A 25,654-nucleotide genomic window follows, 5' to 3' on the forward strand; every position below is an offset into this window, starting at 1 on the left:
TGAGGCTTTAGCAAACTGATGTTTGGATGTACAGAAATCATTTTTGCAGGTAGTGATTTATTCAAGCAAGAATCAGGAAAATGTCAAAACGTATCCAAAAATTATTTTGTGTCCTGTATACTGATGTTTGCTGTAGAGTTTGTTCATCCTTGTACTCATCTCCAGATAGAGCTTTTGTATCTGGAAAGAGTACAATTGACTTAATATTGCTTAATTTAAGTGAAGCAATTAAATTTACGTCATCTTCAGCCACGGACACTCATCGACCATGTTCTGCATATTATCTGCTTGAAAATTGCTGCCACTATGGCCATGCCATTTTTATTTTCCTTCTTCAGTGATTTGCAACTATAATTTTCAGATAGTAACAGAAACCCTGGATTGGAAAACCTTAGTGGTTCCTAAAAAGATCGAGATATATGTTGATACATACATTTGTCATATAACCAATGGGCATTACTAGTTGAACCTAAAGTCGCATTGTAACTTAAATGTCATCCAATTATGCTGGAGGCATCACACTACCTGACTTCAAACTATACTACAAGGCTACAGTAACCAAAACAGCATGGTACTGGTACCAAAACAGAGATATAGATCAATGGAACAGACCAGAGCCCTCAGAAATAATGCCGCATATCTACAACTATCTGATCTTTGACAAACCTGAGAAAAACAAGCAATGGGGAAAGGATTCCCTATTTAATAAATGGTGCTGGGAAAACTGGCTAGCCATATGTAGAAAGCTGAAACTGGATCCCTTCCTTACACCTTATACAAAAATCAATTCAAGATGGATTAAAGATTTAAACGTTAGACCTAAAACCATAAAAACCCTAGAAGAAAACCTAGGCATTACCATTCAGGACATAGGCGTGGGCAAGGACTTCATGTCCAAAACACCAAAAGCAATGGCAACAAAAGCCAAAATTGACAAATGGGATCTAATTAAACTAAAGAGCTTCTGCACAGCAAAAGAAACTACCATCAGAGTGAACAGGCAACCTACAACATGGGAGAAAATTTTCGCAACCTACTCATCTGACAAAGGGCTAATATCCAGAATCTACAATGAACTCAAACAAATTTACAAGAAAAAAACAAACAACCCCATCAAAAAGTGGGCGAAGGACATGAACAGACACTTCTCAAAAGAAGACATTTATGCAGCCAAAAAACACATGAAAAAATGCTCATCATCACTGGCCATCAGAGAAATGCAAATCAAAACCACTATGAGATATCATCTCACACCAGTTAGAATGGCAATCATTAAAAAGTCAGGAAACAACAGGTGCTGGAGAGGATGTGGAGAAATAGGAACACTTTTACACTGTTGGTGGGACTGTAAACTAGTTCAACCATTGTGGAAGTCAGTGTGGCGATTCCTCAGGGATCTAGAACTAGAAATACCATTTGACCCAGCCATCCCATTACTGGGTATATACCCAAAGGACTATAAATCATGCTGCTATAAAGACACATGCACACGTATGTTTATTGCGGCATTATTCACAATAGCAGCGACTTGGAACCAACCCAAATGTCCAACATTGATAGACTGGATTAAGAAAATGTGGCAAATATACACCATGGAATACTATGCAGCCATAAAAAATGATGAGTTCATGTCCTTTGTAGGGACATGGATAAAATTGGAAACCATCATTCTCAGTAAACTATCGCAAGAACAAAAAACCAAACACTGCATATTCTCACTCATAGGTGGGAATTGAACAATGCGATCACATGGACACAGGAAGGGGAATATCACACTCTGGGGACTGTGGTGGGGTCGGGGGAGGGGGGAGGGATAGCATTGGGAGATATACCTAATGCTAGATGACACGTTAGTGGGTGCAGCACACCAGCATGGCACATGTATACATATGTAACTAACCTGCACAATGTGCACATGTACCCTAAAACTTAAAGTATAATAATAATAATAAAAAAAGAAAAAAAAAAGATTAAAAATAAAAAAAATAAAATAAAATAAAATAAAAAAAAAAATCTTTGAAATTAGGAAAGCAAAAGAGTCTGTTTCTAAACCAACTTTTCCTATATGTCACTCAGGTATTGAATCTTGTGTATGTAAAACCTTTCATATCACATTCCTTCAAATCACATTGACCTCTCTGGACCGTGATTATATGTAATGGTCCTGATAAGAAAATATATTTGGCCAAGTGCGGTAGCTCATGCCTATAATCCCAGCACTTTGTGAGGCCTTGGCAGGCAGATTGCTTGAGCCCACGAGTTTGAGGCCAGCCTGAGCAACAGAACAAAACCTCATCGCTACGAAAAAAAAAAAAAATACAAAATACAAAAATTGGCCAGACATGGTGGCATGCGCCTGTAGTCCCAGCTATTCAGGAAGCTGAGATGGGAGGATCCTGTCAGCCTGGCAATTCGAGGTTGCAGTGAGTCATGATCACACCAGTGGACCCCAGGCTGGGCAAGTTTGCAAGATTCTATCTCAAAAAAAAAAAAAAAAGGTAAAGAAAAAAAGAAAGAATAAAGTAAATTTGTTTCACTCAAGTATTATTTTGAGAGAGATTTAGAAAGCCATTAATTAGTTTGCATATCATTATGATTTTTTCTAATAATTTAAAAATTACCTTAGATAAGTATTATTTTAAAATACATGATTACTTAATGAAGGAATCTAAATTTTAACTTATAATTTGATGTTATGTGGCTACTTCTTGTGCTTTATTTCTCTTATTGAAATGTAAAAATATAATTTAATTACAATTCCTTTAATTTGTATGATAACACTTAAGCAAGTTAAATCATTAATAATCTTTTTCTAAAATGTTTAATATTTCCCAACTTCCTGAAAAAAATCTACACATCTTTAGGAAGGACCATATTTGTGAAAAATTATAATTCCTGACTATTAATTTTATTGCTACATACTTCATACAAACACAAACCAGTTTACATTGTTAACATAAAGACAATCAAATGTAAATAAGGCCACAAATTGTAGATTTACTATTAAGACCAAGTCATTCCATTCCTTATATTACTGCCATTAAGTAACAATTTGTTTTTTTCTCTAATAGTAAAGGAAAGAAAATATGTACCTCTCATCTGAAGATATGCACACACAAACACATAAACAGAGTATACATTATAAGATGCATTTTTCTTGTTTTACTTTAGTGTGATAGTTGACAAAGACAAAACCTTAACACATCCGTGTGTGTATACATGTATATGCATGTGTATATATATATGTATATATGTATGTTATAAAGCATATTAATACCAAAAGAATCTGTGAATCTATTACCCAATATAAGAAGTGGAGCATGACAACTGTAGTACACATGGTTTTTACTATATTTGTATTTTATTCTATTTTCCTTTAAGAGATAATACGAGTTGGAGTTATATTCAATATTTCCTTTACTTTTTAAGAAACTTTTAAGATTTTAATTAGTCATAATTTCTAGGAAGTTGCAAAGAAATCTACAGAGAGATCCAGTGTACACTTCACCCAACTTCTCCCAAATTTAACATCTTGCATAACTGCAGTACCTGATTATGAAAAGCAGGAAACTGACCTTGGTACAACCCACAGAGTTATTCGGTTACACGTGCACTCGTTTTTATGTATAAGTCATTTTATCATATGTATATTTCTGTGAAACTTCCATCACAACTAAGATATTTAACTTATTAAATAATACGCCAGGCAGAGTGATTGTTTCACATTTTTATATAGATGAGGAGTATTTTAAAACACTTATTTTCTTTCTGTAACTTTTCCATCTTTGTCATTTGTGGTTGATTTCTTTTCCTCAGTGATATTTGTGTTTCAGGGTTTTCAATGAACAATAATTTCAATGAATAATTTCAGTGAATAATAATTTATTTCACAAAAAGACATCATAGGGCACACAGATGGTATGGTTGTATCTATATTAAAAGACTTTGAATAACTGACATCAATAGTGTATTTTTAAAACTCACATGTATACTCATATTTCACACTTAAATTTTCCAGTTAAATTCCTAAGTCAAAAATGAAGTTCGACTTCTGCTTCTGAGAAAACTGGAGTAGGAGCAATTCTGCTTCTTCCTCCCACTTAAATGCAACTTAATATCTTGGACATCACATAGAGAAAAATGTATAAAGACCTAGAAAGGGAGGGAGAAGACAGCCCACTCTTAGGGAGCTCAGAACTGGGAAGGACATGGTGGCAAGAGCCCTGGTATTTCTTATTTGCCTCACATATTCCAGTTGGATAGAAACTTAAAATCCCTCCGTTATTCTAGTTCCTTGTTAAGTAATACATTGATTAACCTACCATTTTTAGATTTTTATTTACTTCATTAGCTGTAGTGAACTCTTCTTTGGACTGTCTGTGTTTTGGTTTGTAGTTTTTATTTGATTTCTTCATTTCCCTCACAGTGTTAAGTTAAAGCCTTTGCAGAGGTCCCAACTAGGAGCTGAGTGTAGTGGCTTGCACTTGTAATCCCAGCTACTTGGGTGGTTAAGGCAGGAGGATCACTGGAGCCGAGGAGTTAGAGGCTGCAGTGAGTTATGCACTGAGTGTTCACCCACTGCACTCTAGTCTTGATGACAGAGTGGGACCCCATGTGTAAAATAATAATAATGAAGTAAAAATAAATAGGTAATCGTGGAAATGAGGGTGGTAAATATGTAAACAGAAGACTCATCTAGCCATTGAACTTCCTTTCCCTTTTTGCTCTTCATATTTGCACCTGGGGCTGTGAGAGTGGTACTTTGGACATTGTGTTCTAGTTCTAATGTCTGCTCACCTCTGTGGCTATAGAGACCAGGAGCGGACCAGCCTCAGTGACGACAGCATGTTGTTCTTTAAGTAATGTTCCTACTTTCACACCTCAACATTGGTCCTTTGGAACAAGGTTACATTTTTTTTAATTCAAGAGGCTTAATGTATATTTATTATTTCATAAATAAAACCCACAAATACATCTATATAAAATAAATAAATGGAGAAAATCAGATTAGTCTAAAATTATTTCACATAAAATAACTAAGGAAACAACCTATGAAAAAACTTAAAAGATATGATAATGATTCTAGTGCAATTAACATTATTTTGACACAACATCTAATTCTGAACTCCTTATCATGTAAATTAAAAAAAAATCTGGAATCACATGTATGACATATGTGGGGATACAGTAATAATAGAGTGAGGCATAAGATTTATCTCGTGTATTGGTTATCTATTGCTGCATAAAAACATGTAGCAAACTTAGTCATTTAAAATAGTACTCTTTTGTTTCCTCATAGTTTCCATAGCCAGAAGTGCAGGCATGACATATCCAGATTGATTCTATGCAGTCTCACAATGCTACAATTGTAGTGTCATCCAGGCTGTGTTTGCATCTGGAACTTGGGGGTTCTACCAAGCTTGTGTAGGTTTGTGGCAAAATCCAGTTCTTTGCATTTCTAGGACTGAGGTCCCCACATTCTTGCCGCTTGCTGGCCAAGGGCTGCTCTGGGTTCCTAATGGGCACCTCCTGGAGGACTTGGGCATGCAACCATCTCCACAGGGCAGCCTCCCTCTTCCAAAGGCACAGGAGGATCTGTCCCAGCTTGATCCTCTGACCCTTTGTAGGAGCTCCCACCTGATCGATCAAGTATGGCCACCCAGTTAATCTCCTTCAAACTGATTAATTCAAAATTGACTGATTTGGGAGATGACAGCTACAAAATCCTTCCACCTTTGTCATCTGATGGAATCTTAGAACAGGAGTGAAATCCACAACTGCCACAAGTCCAGTCCACAGCCAAGAGGCATTTCAGGGGCAAGAATCTGGGGGCCATCTGTATTAGTCAGGGTTCTCTAGAGGGACAGGACTAATAGGAAATATACATACATATATATATATTTCCTTTTACATATATATAATGGGAGTTTATTAAGTATTATTAACTCACACAATCACAGTGTCCCACAATAGGCTGCCTGTCAACTGAGGAGCAAAGAAACCAGTTTGAGTCCCAAAGCTGAAGAACTTGGAGTCTGATGTTCAAGCGCAGGAAGCATCCAGCACAGGAGAAATATGTAGGCTGGGCCGCTAAGCCAGTCTAGTCTTTTCATGGTTTTCTGCCTGCTTTATATCCTGGCAAAGCTGGCAGCTGATTAGATTGTGCCCATCCAGATTAAGGGTGGGTCTGCCTTCCCCAGCCCACTGACTCAAATGTTAATCTACTTTGGCAACACTCTCACAGACACACCCAGGTTCAATACTTTGCATCCTTCAATCCAATTAAGTTGACACTGAGTGTTAACCATCACACCATCCAAGAATTATTCCTAGCACATCTCACAAGCTTTATTCTGGTTAAGGGTTCTCGACTTAGCTGTGCTTCAGATTTTGAGGGAGCTTCTTAAAAATGCATATTTATAGGCCTCTATATGAATCTGATTCAGATTCAGAATTGAACTCTATCTCCTCAGTTATAAATATTATTTTCAATAAGCTACAGAAGCAATGCTTATGGAGCCAGCTTCATCCCCTTGAGACTTCTGATAACCACTGCTCTATTAAATATAGGCATCTCACCTGCCTATCATTGATTAAAGTATGGTATTTTCAAAACTACAGTTGAGTTCATGAGGGGCCAAGTAACATAAACGGGATCTTTAAAAACTAAATGACAAAGGCAGAAGCACCACTCTAGCCTCTAAAATTAGCAATCTGTTGCTCAAGTCTTCAATTACAGTATGTTTTAAGAGGTCAGCCTGCCCCCCACCACCATAAAACTGAGTTAACAGCTAAGTCTCATAAAAAAGTAATCACTTCTTGGCATTAAATCAATAGACCATTCCTCACAATGAATGCTTTTAAATATTATCACTAATTTAAACTTGGAGTCTGATTCTAAATTTAGATCCAAGTGCTACCTACTGGCAAATGAAATATCCTCTGGTACTCCTTTTGAAGTCAATTTCCCCAAAGTGTGTTCTACAGAACTTAATCTTGTGGCATTAGTCATTTGGAAAATATTACCTCATTTGGTCTCTAGATAATTTACAGGGATTTGAGCTATTCCTAGAAATTGACAAGAAAGTGTGGAAAATTGTGTATGATTTGAGTGTAAATAGCAGTCTTGTCTTCCTCATGGGTAAAGTAGATACATTTCGGTGTGTAGATTTCATCACTTCTATTTTTGAATGCTCATAGGACTTATTTTTTTTTATTTCTGCATCTAGACTGCTCTCCAGAATGTTGAGATTGCCCGAGAAGTGACCCCAGCAAAAGAAAAATATTGCTGTACCTAAATTCAAGTAAGACCATTACTTTGCAATAACGTATCATGTGTAAATTAGTGGAAAAAATCAACTGTATTAGTCTACACTTCTAAGAGACAATTGTTTTCTTTGATATTAATCTTTTTGAAGCTTCTTTCTCTGTTCTTGAAAAATGACAAAAAAAAAAAACAAAACCTCTTGTTATGGAAGCAGTAGAAATATTCAGAACGTATCTCCATGTTTAGTTGTAGTTACACAGCATTTTGATGTGTCTTTCCACAATGTTTATTTAAACAGCTATGTTGAATTTGTGTTGTTTCTTTAATAAGCACTATTTATAGGAATGAGAAAAATCATTTAGTTTTTCAAAAACACCCTTTATTAGGTGAGGGATCTGTGTCTCTTCATGAAGATGGTAACTGGAGTTACACATTTCAGTGAGCTGCGATTTTCTGAGAAGGGCAGACACTCAACAATGGGGAGTGGGTTGCGATGCTTGGCAGGGTGACTATAAACTGTCACGTTCTCTTTTGTTTGTTCAGAGGAAGGAGTGAATGAGGTGAAATTAGTACAATGAATCAAATTCCTTCAGGAAGGGAGTGTGAGTCAGCATGGGTGATGCAGGTGGATCAATGACCTTGTAGTAGAATAAGTGTTACTTTAGGAAGGAATCATACACTATTTGTTGGAAGGAGGTGAACGTGGCTAGAAAAGGTTAGGATTGAAGTCACTAAATCTATTTTTATAATAAGCTGTCACAGTATTTTTGATAGCTTATGTCCTTACAGTCCAAGGACTTGTAGTATGGCTTTAGTAAGATTCATCAAACTCACTGATATATGTTGGGTTTCAATGAGTGCCAGTACTGAAAAGTATACTGTGTGCATATTTATGTACTCAATTATACTTAAATGTAGTGTAGAAGTGGCAAGAATCTTTGAGTGTATCATGTGTTATAAAAACCATGAAACTTTATAACTTTATGTAGCCATGCAGATTGCCTATTAAAGAGATTTCTAGGCTGGGTTTTCAAGGACTATGGCAAGTTCTGAGGCACTGAGGATTAAGCAATTAGGCCTCAAAGTTGTCCTGTTTGCTACCTATTCTGTTAGACATGGAAGCCACATTGTGCTGTTTCTTGTCATGGATGGGTTGCTAATAGATTGATTTCCCTCACCCAATCTGATCCTTAAATTATTCAGGTAGATTTTTTAAACAATTATCTTTTTAAAAAATTTTACTTTAAGTTCTGGGATACATGTGCAGAACATGCAGGTTTGTTACATAGGTATACATGTGCCATGGTGGTTTGTTGCACCTATCAACCCATCATCTAGGTTTTAAGCCCTGCATGCAGTAGGTATTTGTCCTAATGCTCTCCGTCCCCTTGGCCCCAACTCCCAAAAGGCCCTGGTGTGTGATGTTCCCCTCCCTGTGTCCATGTGTTCTTGTTATTGAGCTCCCACTTACACATGAGAACATGCGGTGTTTGGTTTTCTGTTCTTGTGTTAGAGTGTTGCGAATGATGGCTTCCAGCTTCATCCACGTCCCTGCAAAGGACATGAACTCATTCTTTTTTATGCCTGCATAGTATTCCATGATGTACATGTACCACATTTTCTTTATGCAGTCTACCACTGATGGATATTTGGGTTGGTTCCAAGTCTTTGCTATTGTGAATAGTGCTGCAGTAGACATACGTGGGCATGTGTCTTTATAGCAGAATGATTCCTAATCCTTTGGGTATATACCCAGTAATGGGATTGCTGGGTCAAATGGTATTTCTGGTTCTAGATCCTTGAGGAATCACCACACTGTTTTCCACAATGGTTGAACTAATTTACACTTCCACCAACAGTGTAAAAGCGTTAAACAGTTACCTTTAAATTAAACAGTGTATTTTCATCATTCATGTAAACTCAGAAATTTCCAAAGCACATTTTCCCCAAAGCAAAAATAACCCTTTCTAACGCATTATAAATGCCATTATATACCCAATGTTTTCAAGTTATTTTTCATTGCTAGACCTTTTTTCATAGTTAAATATGTACTTCAAATAAAATCTCATAGGGGAGTCCAACAGATAAAAGAGGAAAAAAGAAGCATTTTTTAAATTTTTTTATTTTTATACTTTAAGTTTTAGGGTACATGTGCACAACGTGCAGGTTTGTTACATATGTATACATGTGCCATGTTGGTGTGCTGCACCCATTAACTCATCATTTAGCATTAGGTATATCTCGTAATGCTATCCCTCCCCCCTCCCCCCACCCCACAACAGTCCCCGGTGTGTGATGTTCCCCTTCCTGTGTCCATGTGTTCTCATTGTTCAGTTTCCACCTATGAGTGAGAACATGCGGTGTTTGGTTTTTTTGTCCTTGCGATAGTTTGCTGAGAATGATGGTTTCCATCTTCATCCATGTCCCTACAAAGGACATGAACTCATCATTTTTTATGGCTGCATAGTATTCCATGGTGTATATTTGCCACATTTTCTTAATCCAGTCTATCATTGTTGGACATTTGGGTTGGTTCCAAGTCGTTGCTATCGTGAATAGTGCCGCAATAAACATACGTGTGCATGTGTCTTTATAGCAGCATGATTTATAGTCCTTTGGGTATATACCCAGTAATGGGATGGCTGGGTCAAATGGTATTTCTAGTTCTAGATCCCTGAGGAATCGCCACACCGAAGCAGCAGCGAGTGATCTAGAACTTGGCTGCTCTGTCACTGCCTTCATTTCTTCTAAATCCATTCCCATTCCCCAAACCTCCAGACTAAATGGATATTCATATTTCTCCTGTGATTCCTTGGTTTCTCAATCCTTAATTTGGAAGCACTTGTGGAAGAATCAATTGAAGGGGACAGAGAGCAAAGGATGGAAGCTGAAACTTCCAGAATTATTCTGGGCTAGCCATCAGTGGCCAAGCTGTTGCTGTGTAAGAGGGGGTCATTTATTCCCTTCTTAGAATTTCCCAGTGTCAGGGGCTGCTCTGCATGCTTTCACACTACCATTGTGCAAAGGTTTCAAAGTATCATGCACAGTAAATCCTGACTAAAGCCCAATAAGAGTACAGGTTATACATGAAGAAATGGAGAAAGGCAGTTGTAAGGAAAATAATGGAAATTCACTTGAGGGCGGCTATTCTCATCCTCAAGCCACCTTCTTCTGACAATCCTGAAAAGTAGTTAATATTTTGTTATTTTTTAAAAAATATGGCTGGATGCATTTCAAGCCGTCCTCTTTCTTAAATATATCTCTTTGCCTCTTCATGTTTAATTCATGCTCATATTTGCCCACATTTAAAGCTAGGCTGGCTTCACATTGGAATTGAAAATAGCCCTAGGAGCATGAGGAACCCTGAGAGCCTGGGTGTCCTCAGCTGTCACAACTGGGTACCTGCCCCTTTGTGTTTGCTGCCCTCTCTGCCTGGCTAGAGGCGGCCCCAGGCTTCCTGGGCATTTTTAAATTACTGAAACAAGAGTATTATAATAAAACACTTAACATTTTAATACATAGTTTTTTTTTGCTATTGTTGCTTTTGTGTGTTTTGGGGATGTCTGAGGCCTCTGCCCTTGACTGCAATTGGTCCTTCTGCTGTGGCCTGCCCCTCTCTGTGTCACAAGTTGCAGCTGCTGACAGGACGCAACTTCTATTGCCCCATGTGCCACCAGAATCATTGTTCAAGCTCCCAGTACTCTCAGACAGATTTGTGATTGAAGAATCATTGACTTCACTTGGAAATCATCTCTATTTCTAGTGTTGTCTGTCACAGATAAAATGACAAATTGATCAAATGCAAGCAAGCTTAGCATTCAGCCCAGTACTGACTTCATATCCTGGGCAACTTTCTGAATTCATTCTGACTGGGACCCACTGCCTATTTCTCTTGTTTCCTGGATCTGACTGCAAAAGCTTCATGTAGGGAAGGCAGGTAAAGTCCTCAGCTAGGGCACTAATAGCAGTGAGGTTCCCCTAGACTGGAAAAAAAAGAGTGACTTGCATTTGTTTGCTTGTTTTATGTTTCCAGGAAAGTTATATGACAGGGAAGAAACGGTAGTTTCTCCTTGTGATCTCAGGATTAACTGGTGTACCACAATGTATAAGGTCCAAATGAACATTTCAGAAAAATTGATCAACTGAAGGGAACATTTCTGTAGCTCCATTTTGTTCATTTCAAAGACTCTCTTAGTTGAGAAAAGTCTAGCTACACTTAAAAATAGTCCCTTTTATTGTTCGTATTGTCTACCCTAGTAGGTATGAAGGGACTTCTGGAAGTTCTCAAGTTCTTGGTATTGCTTTCCCTCATGGGCAGATTAATCTAGGCTGCTTCAGTCTTGGTGATTCCATCTCCCCCTGTTCAGTCAAGAGAAGGTGGGACTGTGCCGTGCAGGTAAAGGCCATTGGCAGCCTCTCAGGACTAAAAGTGTGGGCCTGTATTTGTGTTTGTCTGTGAAGTAGAGTCACAAGAAAATCTTTAGGTCACCATCAGACAACTTTGGTAATACAGGGAAAAGCAAAAAAGTCTCAAAAATTATTCTCATAAATCTTGTTGTGTTAAATGCTGCTTATAGTATCAAAGCTGCAGAACAGAATTACAGAAACTCTGGAGCATGGCAGCTGAAATGGTGGAGAGAGGTAGTGTCTCCCTGAGAGTGTGGGGCCCTCTTGTTCATATGACTTTCCACATCTGCTCAGTCCTGCCTTCTTTCCAAATTTCAGGTGTCTTCCTTGCCTTCAGGCTGGATTACTCCTAGTGATGGCTCTCACTACCCCATGGTTATCTTGTGTCAGCTGCAGTCAGTGCCTCATTCCCGAACATCCCTGCTTGCCTCCCTCTGTCCTGGATGCAAAAGCCAATCTTCACTTCAACCTCAACTATTCCCACGGAGGAGGAGTTACAGCTGTACAGTGTCTGCTCCAACCCGTGGGACACACAGAGACCCTGGTTTGCTCAGAGAGGCTGGTTACAGCCAGCAAAAAGCACAGAGGCAAATGTTAAGAGGCAAACGTTGACAAGTGAAACAGGAGTGGGCTGGCTTCATGGAAACAAAGACTTACTTAGCCTTATAAGGCCCCTGCATACACAGCCCCACACTTAATTGAACGCTTTGACCTCTTTAACACTTGTTTAATTTGCCTACATTCAAATGAGTGCTTTGTGTTGCAGTGTTCTATGGGTCTGACAAATGCATATCATGGAACCATCATTACAGTGTCATGCAGAGGAGTTTCACCACCCAAAAATATCCCCTACGCTTCTCTTATTTAACTCTCCTCATTCCTGAACCCCTGGAAACCAATGATCTTTTCACTGTCTCTACCGTTTTGCATTTTCTCAATTGTCACATAATTGGAATCCTACAGTAGATAGCCTTTCAGAATGGCTTCCTTCACTTAACAAAATGCATTTTAGATTCATCTATGTCTCTTGGAGGTTTGATAGCTGATTTTTTTCCTAAAAATATGGCATTCTGTGGTATACTCCGATTTATTTATTCATTCGTCTTCTGAAGGCAGTTACAAATACAGCTGCAATAAAAATATTCAGACCTTACATAAGCTTTCAAATCCATTGGTAATGCTTAGTAGCATAACTGCTGCATCAAGTGGTAAGCTCTGTAGGGAATTGCAAAGCTGTTTTCCAATGTGGCAAAACCATTTGGCATTCTCTTTTTTGCCACTGCTGTCTTCTCCTTCCTCTACCTCTCCCTCTTTCCATTCCTCTTTTTCTTCTTCTGGTCTCTTCCTCCTCTCTTTTTTTTTTTTCTGTCACTTTCTGTCTCTCTCTTCACACACGTGCGCGCGCACACACACACACACACAGGGATAGTTTAGGAAATTGTTGGAGGTTATCTAACATGTTAGTTTTGAAATTAACAAGTTGGGAAAGGCCATTATAGACAATACTAATTAATACAAATGAATTATAAAGAGAAGATACAATATGAAGCCTCTTCCTCAGGTCCCAGTATTAGTCAATATCTTCCTCTATTTATCTGCAAAATCAAACCTATAGTTGTCCATTTCTTTCTTCTTGAACTTCCAGGTGTCCATGAATTCTATAACCATCAGCTCTATCAGCCTTCTTATGCATGTTCTGTTCATTATTTTTGTTCTTTATCATATCGAGATATATATTTGCCTCATCCTATAATCTCACCTTTCTCCCTGATGTTATCTCTGTGTGACACTCTGCCAAAAAGACACACTTTCCCTTACTAAAACGTTTCCTATTTTGATGTAGTCATGCTTGCTTATTTTTACTTTTGCTGCCTGAGCTTTCAATGTCATATTCAAAATAATTATTGCTAAGACCAATATCAAGAAGGTTTTCCCCATGTTTTCTTCTACAAATTTTACTGCTTCAGATCTCATATTGAAATCATCAATTTATTTTGAGTTGATTTTTGTGTGTTGTATAAGAGTCCAGTTTCACTCTTTTGAGTACTGATTCCCAGTTATCCTAATGTCATTGTGTCTTCTTTGTGGCCTTCCCAAAATTAGTTGACCATGTATGCTTGGGTTGATTTTTGGGCTCTCTACTCTGTTCCATTGGTCTATGTATCTGTTTTTATGCCAGTACCATATTGTTCTTACTACTGTAGCTTTGTCATGTAATTTGAAGTCAGGAAATATGATACCCCAAACTCTGTTTTCAGCTTTCAAGATCTCATTGGTTATTTGAGTCTTTCAGGGTCCCATATAACTTTAGAATGTTTTTCTGTTCCTGTGAAAATGCCATTGAAATTTTGACTGAGATTGCATTCAATCTGTATATGGCTTTAGGCAGTATTTGACATTTTAAAAATATTAAAACTTTCAAGCCATAAACATTAGTTATTAAACTAAAAAACATTTGCATGGAAAAGGAAATAATCAACACAATAAAAAGGTAATCTATGGACTGGGAGAGAATATTTGCAAGCTATACATCTGATAAGAAATTAATACTCAAAATACATAAGCAGTTCCCACAACTTGAAAGGAAAAAAGTAATCTAATTAAAAAAGGGCAAAATATATGAATAGACGTTTTTCGAAGAAAGACATACAAATAGCCAAACATATGCAAAGGCATTCAACATCACTAATTATCAGGAAAATGCAAATCAAAATCACAGTAAGATATCACTTTACATCTGTTAAGATGGCTATAATAAAAATGACAAGAGATAAGAGGTGTCAGCAAGGGTGTGGAGGGAAGGAAACCCTTGTGCACTGCTGCTGAGAATGTAAATTGGAACAGCTATTGTGAAAAACTGCATGGAGTTTTCTCAAAAAATTAAAAACAGAACTACTGTATGATCCAGCTATCCTACTGCTGGTTATATACCCAAAGAAGGTGAAATCAGCATCTGGTAGAAATATCTGCATTTGTCTTTTCTTTGTAGCATTATTCACAATAGCCAAGATATTAAAACAACCCTAACTGTTCATAGATGGATGAATGGATAAATAAATTATGGTATATGTACATAATATAATACTATTCAGTCTTAAAAAAGGACATGCTGACATTTGCAACAACATTGTTGAGCCTGGAGGATATTACACTAAGTGAAATAAGCCATAAACAGTAAGACAGATACTGTATTATTTCACTTATATGTGGAATCTTAAGTCAAATACACACAAACACAGAGTGCAATGGTAGTTACTTGGGAGGAGAGGGTGTGGAAATAAAGAGATGGGAATCAAAGAGTACAAACTTGAAGTTATATAGGATGAATTAGTCTAGAGATCTATGGTACAGCATGAGGACTCTAGTTCATAATACTGTTCTGTATACTGGAAATTTCTGAAGAGAGTAGACTTTAGGTGTGCTTACCATACATACAAAAAAGAAAGTAATAAAACGTCTTGAAACTAGATAGAAGTAATATTTGCACAATGTTGTGAATTTACTAAATGCCACTGAGCTATATACTTTAATCAATTTTATTCTATGTGAATTTTACCTCAATGAAAAGAAATGCAAGAGAAAATGGGAGAAAACAGACTTCCTATTATACAAAACCCAAACATAAATCCCACCACCTTCAACACATTTTTTTTAGGTGGCCCATCCTAATTATTCCTTTTCTATCTTTCTATATAATAGCATTTTAGATTAATTTTGCTTGCGTTTCCCACCAGATTGTGAAGCCTTTTTTTTTTTTTTTTTTTTTTTTTTTTTAACAAAGTTTTGCTCTTGTTGCCCAAGCTGGAGTGCAATGGCACAAGCTCGGCTCACTGCAACCTCCACCTCCCAGGTTCAAGCGACTCTCCGGCCTCAGCCTCCCGAGTAGCTGGGCTAACAGATGCACGCCACCATGCCTGGCTAAATTTTTTTGTATTTTTAGTAGAGATGGGGTTTCACCATGTTGGCCAGTCTGGTCTCGAACTCCTGGCCTCAGGTGATCTGCCTGTTTCAGCCTCCCTAAGTGCTAGGATTACAGGCGTGAGCCACTGCACCCGGCCTGTGAACTCTTGAAGAGAAGTCTTGCATTACTCCATTGCCAAGAGTACTTCTCCCTCCTAGTCACTTCACACAGCCCTGTCTGAACTGTGCTCTCCAGGCCAGCATTGTTGGTGGTGATTGCTCTGGACCTCACTTTTAGTTAACTTAATCTGACTCATGTCCTATGCTTTTACACATGCCCCATCCTTAAAACTCATTTCTTTGTACCTTGTGTGTCTCAGATCCTGCATCTGGATATTTGGACTTGATCTTTGTTTTTATTTTCCTAATGGAGTTTATCATAAACTTGACTGTAGTTTTATTAATTGCTTTAATATAATTTCAGCCTTCTTGCCTTTCCAAAAACTTATTCTCCAAAAACAACCATTTGGTTAGCACGTGCATCAGTCCTACCTCCATGAATAGGTGGGGAAGGGCAGTCAGCAGAGTTTTTCAGGTGCTATTTCTGGGCTATACATTCTCATTTTATAAATTTAATTGGGTTTAACTGGTACTTACAATATTTATGTTTTCAACAAGTTATTTTGAGTATTTAAGGAAGAAAATAACACTAGTATAATGTATACTGTGATAATATTTAAGGGATTTCATTTTTATTTTTAACTGTGTAATTGCTAGTATGCATAGAAAAATGATGAGAAAATGAAGCAAAATTTAATCTGTTAACATTTCTCAGTGATGGATAGTAACATGTACAAAGTTATATGCTTTTGAAATGTGATATTATCTTTTATTCTTTAAAAAGTTCAATTTGGGCTTTGCTGCATATTATTTCTTAATATGTAGAAAAAATAAGAAGGAAAGCTATTGATTTTCCTCCAGTATGAAAGAAAATCAATAGTGCAAGAAGGGCCAATTGACCAAGCAAAGAAACAGTTCCCTTGAAATAAATGTTGTGACAGAATACAATAATTATTCTGCTATTTAAAAACCAAGCCAGATTTTCAAAATTATTCTACACTTCTTTGTTACAGTATATAATGTATGAACTCAATGGAGCAAGTGGTGATATCATATTAAGAATATAATATTATTTTCTAAAGCAAGATCAATACGAAGATCTATTTTAGAAGAGTGTCATTTGCAGCATGAGCACCCCAGTCTAAATGCCTAAGGGTTGAAGAGGCAAAGAATAACACATATATAATAATAACACCAGTCAAGTTTATGCCTTTTTAAAAATGAGAATGCACCATTCAGCTTTGATATAGATATGGTGGGTTCTTTTATTGCCGATTGCCCTTCTCCAAAGTTAGGTGGTGAGATAATGGCAGATCAACAACTGTCTCTTCAGGTTTTTGTCAACTAATCCAAATATTTTTATGACATGACATTAAACCATTTTTATATTGCAGGGTATAAACACTATAAGAAATAAATCTTTAGTTGAGTAACATGTAATTAGTAAGCTGAAAGAGATAAATAGGTACAAGATGCATGTTACTAAATAAAATATATTTTATGTTTATGAGTACAGATATCCTAATATATTAGTTATAAAAGTAGCCCTATTTGCAACAGGAAGCATTTTTTCAAGAAAAAAATGTGATTTGGCACGTGCGTGTCTGTGTGTGTGCGTGTGTGTGTACACCAGACATCTCTTAAAAGCTACTTCAGATTCTCTTAATTTCATCTTTTTTGGTCACTTCTTCCAGCTTCAGCCACTACTGCAGTGGTCAAGTTTCTGGAGTTTGAAAAAAATTTATGCAAGCACAAGTGACCAGCTCTTCATCTTAAACCTGCATCCCATATCACTCCTCTTTTTTCTTCTGCCTGGAAATTTTCTATTGAGATGAGGCACAAACAAATGCTATGGAATTAATTGTCCATGAGGCAAATCTCTGACAACCTGGAGACTAGAGCCAATAAATATATTATTCTCCCCTTTATCCTCAGAGACACCATCCCAAGATGATGTCACTGATGCCGCATACCAAGTGGTGGCCAACTTTACATTACATCCTCTCACGGTTTGCCCCAACTGACTGTAACGCCTAATCTGACCCATTCTGTTACCTTGCTCCTCCTTGCTTTTCCTGATCTCCACTCTCTTATAAACCACTACTCCTTTGCTAGGCATTTCATCAGAATGCATTGCTTATTTTCATACTGATGACATCAACCTGGTCACTCCTGCTCATTTACTCAAGGTTTTAGTGTTTGACTAACAGTGTTTCTCTGCGCTATTTCTGTAAGTCTTACGCTTCCGCATTCACACAGAAGATTAATTCCACACCCTGGCTTTCAGTGCTATGCTGCTTCCCTCTCAGCTATTTGTGCATTTGTCTGCAGGTGCCCATTCCCTAAACTGTATGATTGCCTGTGACTGTACCGTCTCCAGAGTCTCCGTTTTATAACTCTATATCCCATTTTTTCAGCCCACTTACCTTAGTTATCCTATTCCAGACTAAGCTGAAGACTTCCAGTCCTCAACCCTTTACCTTCAAGTGCCCATAGCACGTTATGGCTTCATTCCATCCTTATACAACTTATATTCCATAATACATCAGTATAATCACCATTTACATACCTTCCCAGCGTTTTTGCCTTTCTCTCCTTCCCACAGCACATCTGGAAAAATCTTAACCATAATTAAACTAAATTTCTATCTGCTTCCCCAAGTAGCAAAATATGACTCAAAGAAAACATACAACTATGCTGATGAGTTCGCCTTCAACTTGTGACCCCCAAACCTCAGCCCAGTCATGACTCTTACTTATGAGTCATCATTTGTCTGAATTTGCTATTTATATCTATTTTCTCTCCAAACTTTCAGCAAATGTCTTTTATCGCTGTATTTAATAACCTTGCCTTAACTTTACTACTATAGCAGCATTAATAAAAAAATTACTTATCTATTAAGAAAATCTACCAAACTAGCTGCATTTATTCCCGTATCCCTTCTTACTATGAAGGAAATGTATATGCTCCCATCTTAGCCAAAAATCCTTCACTTTTACATTGGATTCCATTTTTTTTCCACCCGCTTAAGGACTCTGCTTCTGAAATTGTATCTTACTTATTCAAGTATCAACAGTTTGTCTCTCTCTGCTTCATTTGTCTATTTCCATTAGAATACAAATATGGTTACATCTTTTTTATTATTATTATTATTTTTTGAGATGGAGTCTTGCTCTGTCGCCCAGGCTGGACTTCAGTGGTGTGATCTCGGCTCACTGCAACCTCCGCTGCCCAGATTCAAGCAATTCTCCTGCCTCAGCCTCCTGAATAGCTGGGATTACAGGTGCCCACCACCACACCTGGCTAGTTTTTGTATTTTTAGTAGAGACAGGGTTTCACCATGTTGGTCAGGCTGGTCTCCAACTCCTGACCTCATGATCTGCCTCCCTTGGCCTCCCAAAGTGCTGGGATTACAGGTGTGAGCCACCGTGCCCGGCCTACATCTTAAAATTAAAAATAAAATTCCTCCTTTAACTCCACTTATTTTGGTAGCTTCAGCCTGAAATGTCTGTTTCCTGCAATCTCAATCTCTTTTAAATGGTTGTAATTATGGTATGTTTTCAAATCTTCACATTTTAGTCACCTTTGAAACTATTACAAATAGGTCTTAACTCAGCATTCCACTGAAACCATTCTTATCAAACGAGCCAAGGGAAATTTAATATGTGTCCCAGTGAGTTTACCCCTGACTTGAAATATCTCCGTCATTCAGATTCCTTTTTAATGGTTAAACAATAGATATTAGTGCCCCAAATGTAAAAACATAAGGATTGGTATATTTTTGAGGAAAAAAAATTAAAATGTTCCTAGTTCAGTATTAAATATCCTTTTTGTGGTATTTAAGTATTATTGACTTTGTAAATGACAGTTATTTATTACTGTGAAGATTCTCAATATTTTTATAATATAAAATTATGATTGTTCTTTTTTAACAAAACAAAGAAAAATTTGAGATTCTTCTTATTCAAGGTTATACTTTCTGACATTGATTCCTCTGAAGATGACAAATGTCTTCACAAGGTAACAGTGTTTTATAATATGCTTAGAAAATAGAATCAGGTTCATATGGTTTGCATCTATGTCCCCACCCAAATCTCACATTGAATTGTAGTAATCCCCACATGTCAAGGGCAGGACCAGGTGAAGATAATTGAATCAAAGGGGCAGTTTCCCCATTCTGCTCTCATGATAATGACTGAGTCTCTTGAGATCTGATGGTTTTATAAGCATATCACATAACCCCTGCTGGCACTCATTCTCTTTCCTGTTGCCCTGTGAAGAGGTGCCTTCTGCCATGACTGTAAGTTTCCTGAGGCTTCCGCAGCCATATGGAACTGTGAGTCGATTAAACCTTTTTCTTTATAAGGTATCCAGTCTCAGGCAGTTATTTACAGCAGTGAGTGTGATAATGGACTAATATACATGTTGTGTTAAAAGTTGTCCAAAGAAATACTGCTTAGGTCAAAACCTGATGCTGCCATTTACTAGTTGTGACTCATTTGACAGTTTCTTAAACTCTCTGAGTAAGTTCCCACATAGACCATACTGCTATGATAAATATAAATGTATATGTGAAAACTGCTTAAGGTCATATTTATCAGACAATATAAGCAAATAATATATGTTAATTGGTTAAGAGAAATCACACCTTTTTTTACTTTAAAGTTCACTAATAATTGTGGAAAATATTCTTTTTTCTTTTTCCTCATCAAACTTTTATCTATTAATGTACATTTCTATGAATTCATTTTTTTCTATATTATACAATGGAAGATAATATAACACTATTGTTTTTTATTTTATTTATTTTTTTTTAATTTTACTTTAACTTCCAAGATACATGTGCAGAAAGTGCAGGTTTGTTACATAGGTATACATGTGCCATGGTGGTTTGTTTGCTGCACCTATCAACACGTCATCTAGGTTTTAAGCCCTGCATTCATTAAGTATTTGCCCTAATGCTCTCCATACCCTAGACTCCCACCCCCGACAGGTCTGTGTGTGTTGTTCCTCTCCCTGTGTGCATGTGTTCTCATTGTTGAACTCCCACTTAGGAGTGAGAACATGCAGTGTTTGGTTTTCTGTTCCTGTGTTAGTTTGCTGAGGATGATGGCTGCCAGCTTCTTGAACCATGTCCCTGCAAAGGACATGATCTCATTCTTTTTTATGGCTGCATAGTATTCCATGGTGTATATGTGCCACATTTTCTTTATTCAATATATCATTGATGTGCATTTAGGTAGGCTCCATGTCTTTGCTATTGTAAATAGTGCTGCAGTAAATATATGTGTGCATGTATCTTTATAGTAGAATGATTTATATTCCTTTGGGTATATACTCAATAATGGGATTTCCTATGGTCAAAGGGTATTTCTTATTCTAGAAATCACCTTAATTCAAATCAATCAAAGTCCTTGAGGAACACTGTCTTCCACAATGTTTGAACTAATTTACATTCACACCAACAGTGTAAAAACATTCCTATTTCTCCACAGCCTCGACAGCAAATATTGTTTCTTGACTTTTTAATAATTGTTATTCTGACTGGTGTGAGATGGTATCTCATTATGGTTTTGATTTACATGTCTCTAATGATCAGTGATAATGAGCTTTTTTTCATATGTTTGTTGGCGGCATAAATGTCTTTTTTTTTGAGAAGTGTCTGTTCATATCCTTTTAACACTTTTTGATGGGGTTGTTTTGTTTTTGTTTTGTTTTGCTTTGTTTGTAAATTTAAGTTCCTTGTAGATTGTGGATATTAGACCTTTGTCAGATGGGTAGATTGCAAAGATTTTCTCCCATTCTGTAGGTTGCCTGTTCACTCTGATGCTGGTTTCTTTTGCTGTGCAGAAGCTCTTTAATTATATCCCATTTGTCAATTTTGGCTTTTGTTGCAATTACTTTTGGCATTTTTGTCATGAAGTCTTTGCCCACGCCTATTTCCTGAATGGTATTGCCTGCATTTTCTTCCAGGTTTTTTATGGTTTGGGGTTTTACATTTAAGTCTTTAATCCATCTTGAGTTAATTTTTGTATAAGGTGTAAGGAAGGGGTCCAGTTTCAGCCCAAAGTAATTTATAGGTTCAATGCTATTTCCGTCAAACTGCCACTGACTTTCTTCACAGAATTAGAAAAAAACTATTTTAAATTTCATATGGAACCAAAAAAGAGATCATATAGCCAAGACAATCCCATGTCAAAAGAACAAAGCTGGAGGCACCCTGCTACCTGACTTCAAAGTCTGCTACAAGGCTACAGCAATGAAAACAGCAAGGTACTGGTACCAAAACAGACATATAGACCAATGGAACAGAACAGAGACCTCAGAAATAACACCACACATCTACAACGATCTGGTCTTTGACAAACCTGACAAAAACGAGCTATGGGGAAAGGATTCCCTATTTAAGAAATGGTTCTGGGTAAACTGACTAGCCATACGCAGAAAGCTGAAACAAGAAAATGTTATACTTACATTTTTGTTTAACTTTTACAGTATCTTTGTTAAATAGATTATGTGCTTGGGCCCATTTTATAGCTTATAGAATTAAAAAAATAAGCAATATCAAACTGCACAAACCCATACATATATAAACTCAGGATGCTATTGTTTTAGAGTTTTCATGAGCATAAACCAATGGTCACATTTCTTTTGCTCTGAGATGAGGTCCATGGTCAGAAACAATACTACGTACAATGCCATGATATTTGAAAGGGCATTTTATTAGTTCATGGATGGTAATTTTGCAAAAGCACTGTAATCAGGGAAAGCAAATCAATACCTGTAGTAAGTATTCCACTATGAACAAAGCTCTGCCCTTCCATGATGGAAGTGGCCCAGTGAAAACAACCAGGCAGCTGGCTGATCACCCAGGAAGTGGTTCCATGTTAGCAGGGACTATATCCAAATCAGCCCAGGTGAGTGGAAGACAGTGTTTTTCAGCACATACATATTATCCATCACTGCCACCTTAGCCACTTTGTCACCAGCCAATACTTGGATATGATAGTAATGGCTGGTGAAAGAGCCTGGCTGACATCAACAGAACAGGCCATTCTATTTTCATTATTAAAATATTGGTCTACTGAATCCACTTATTGACAATCATTCTCAAAGAACACGAATATCTTTATGGTGTTCCATTCAGTGACCATTCAGTGAGGTCTACCCACATGCTCCTTCCCTAGACTTCCTTGCCACCAATATTCCAATCACGTTTCTTCAAATAGTGAACCATACAGGCAAGCCATTGGCTTCAGCTCATGAATCATTGTAGTCCCCCATCTTTAGCCCTCTCTGCTTCCAGGCAAAATGAACAACCAGGTGCACTCATCCACGTTCTGCCCACTGGGAGGATTTTCCTTTGCGATTGTCTTCAGGAAGACCCTGTAGGTGTGGGGCTGCAGTATTGCAGCTGCCCATCTCAGACAGTACGTGCACATCATTCAGATCCATTTGTAAACTACACAAGAGTTTTTTCACCCTCAGATAGTCATAGGGTACTCTCATGTGGGTTCAGGTACAAGCTGAGAGAGAAAAAGCAGTGTAGCAAGAGTAAGAGCCATGCACATTTGGGACACCTCTTCATGTAACTTTCCTATTCCTTCAAGGTGTGCCTGAGTCCACTCTGGTAAACACCACTTCCATTTGATAATGGAGTACTGCAGTGCACACCCAACTGTGACTTTTGGGGGCAAACAATACACAGTTCACAATGGACTATCTATTAAGTCCCTGTAGCAGACCAAAATCTGTTTCTCAAAAGCAGAGTAGACGTTCACTGAGGATAGTAAGGCCTTGATCCCAAATCCTAAAGGCCTGCACTGTGACTCACCTGTAGCAACCCTCTCTGCCACTGACATTTCAAGTTCCCTGAGGTGTACTCTATCATGAAACCCAAGAGGCAGAGCAGATTGCATAGCAGCCTGGATCTGTTCAGAGCCCTTTTGTGTTCTGGGCCTCACCCAGCATTAGCAACTTTTGAGTCACTATGTAAATGGGCCAGAGAAGCATATCTTAATGAGGTACACACTTCCTCCATAATCCATGGAGGTCTCACAGGAATAGCACAAAGGTGGAAAAACAACAACTTATCCTTTACCTAGACAAGGATATTTTGACAATCTCCAGGCCACTGGGCCGTGGAAACTTTGAAAGACACATAATTAAGCCATCAGAGGTATTATGAATTTAAGGATGAAATTAATGGGATAGAAATATAGTACTTTTTATTGTTATCCTATGTCATTGTTTATTTTTTTTTCAGTAGTCTTTGACATCATAAAGCAGTGGTTCTCAAAAGTGAGCATACAATGGAATCACCTGGATATCTTGTTAAAACTCTGGTTGCTAGGCCCTAACCCCAGAGTTTCTGATTCGGTAGATGTGGGAAGGAGCCTAGGAATTTGCAATTCTAAGTTCCCAGGTGCTGCTGATGCAGGGACCACACTGTGCAAACCACTAGATGGAGAAAGAAGTGGATGATTTATGGTAGAAAGCAAGTTATAAGTTGACTGTAATATGATTTGTCCCTGATAACTCTCTGTTTTGTTTCTGAATTTGTTCTGTGGGTAAAGGATACTCTGTGTAAAAGGAAAGTTAACAACATTCAAACTCCAGGTACCAAGTCTGCTGTAAGACCACACAGACCTCTGTGTCAAGCCTCCTTGTGTCTAGGTGCTGCATGGCATTTACACAGCAGAACAGAACATTTAATACATTTCAGAAGAGATAAACATTTTAGTATAAATATTTAGTATTTTAGGCATAAAATATAGTGTTTTTCAAAAAACTATAAAAATAGAGATAGGATTTTAACTTGATTTCAGTAGCACATCTAATAATTGAACTTTTTTGAATCCCAATTCTAAATTCTAATCTAAGTTAAATTCTGATCTAAGTTAATTCTTCTCTAGAACACGTTTGAGTGAAGATTATTTTGTGAACAATGGGAAGACAATTGCTTGTGTTATAGATATTCCCTATTTTCTGTTTGAATGTTGATTACTCATAAGTCATTTGGTAGCTTTCATTCATTTATTAATCCATTAAACAAGCATGTACTGAATACCTGCTATATACTAGGTTATCTACTAGGCACTGGAATTCAAAGATGGATACGGTATAATTCAGCCTTTAAGGAGCTCACAGTCTACTGTAACTGAGTCTTCTCAGAGAAAGGCCAGCATTCTGCTTCTGATTCTTTCTAGAACAATATTATATTTCATAGAATATGATATTTCATGCAAAATACAGCTGTTAACCATATTTTTATAGTTATTACCTCCCTGGATTGAGGAGAACAGTCAGAACAAAAGGTGGTAATATTTATATTTCATATTTTCTGCTTTTAAGATTATATTTCAGATTTATTTTCACTCAATGTGCCCAATTTAAGTCTATTGTTGATAACATTGATAACATCAGTAAGGTTATGACTTTGCAATCAGTTTGAAATGCATAGCTCCAGTTGATTTAAATGATTTCTCTTTGAGAAAAAAAGGTAATGAATTGGCCGTAACTAATTAGCATGCCATAAATCATCACACTGGTGTTCTTTTCTACTTGAATACCTGAGAAAGGTATACTAACAGAAAATACTCTCTTTCTCTTTTTTTAAGTGTTTGCTAGTGCCTTTTAGAGGTAAATTGTTTCAATAAAGCTTCTTGCACACACTTGCAGAACCTTTGAAAGCCATTTTACTACCTCCTGTTGACAAACAGCAAGATCCTCCGCACATCACAGAGGTGACATGCTTGGTCATTTGGGGGTGGATAGTGGAACTGGTTCCCTGTGAGGAAGCAGCCACCTGTTCACTCTTTCAGTAGGTGAAGCAAAACAGCTAGAGCATATGAAGAAACAAGGTGGAATGACACGACAATAAGAATAAATTGGGCTTAGATAGAATGGTGCAATTATGCTACAAACAGCTTGCCTTTCATTGCCATAAATTATGCCGGG

At 37.4% G+C, this 25,654-nt stretch overlaps 1 protein-coding gene across 21 annotated transcripts in view; it reads left to right on the forward strand.

Annotated features, from left to right (window-relative positions):
- The window catches only part of SNTG1 (syntrophin gamma 1), an 886,897-nt gene that overhangs the window by 255,536 nt on the left and 605,707 nt on the right, over window positions 1-25,654 (forward strand). For 17 of the 21 annotated variants that reach the window (NR_135796.2, NR_135795.2, NR_135797.2 and 14 more), the window contains one exon: window positions 7,230-7,304. The exons of the other annotated variants lie outside the window; for them this stretch is intronic. The gene's annotated coding sequence lies outside the window, so the exon portion shown is untranslated. The remainder of the gene's footprint in view (window positions 1-7,229; window positions 7,305-25,654) is intronic. 21 annotated transcript variants of the gene reach the window in all.

Source organism: Homo sapiens, chromosome 8, assembly GCF_000001405.40.
Source record: "Homo sapiens chromosome 8, GRCh38.p14 Primary Assembly".
Lineage (NCBI taxonomy): Eukaryota > Metazoa > Chordata > Mammalia > Primates > Hominidae > Homo > Homo sapiens.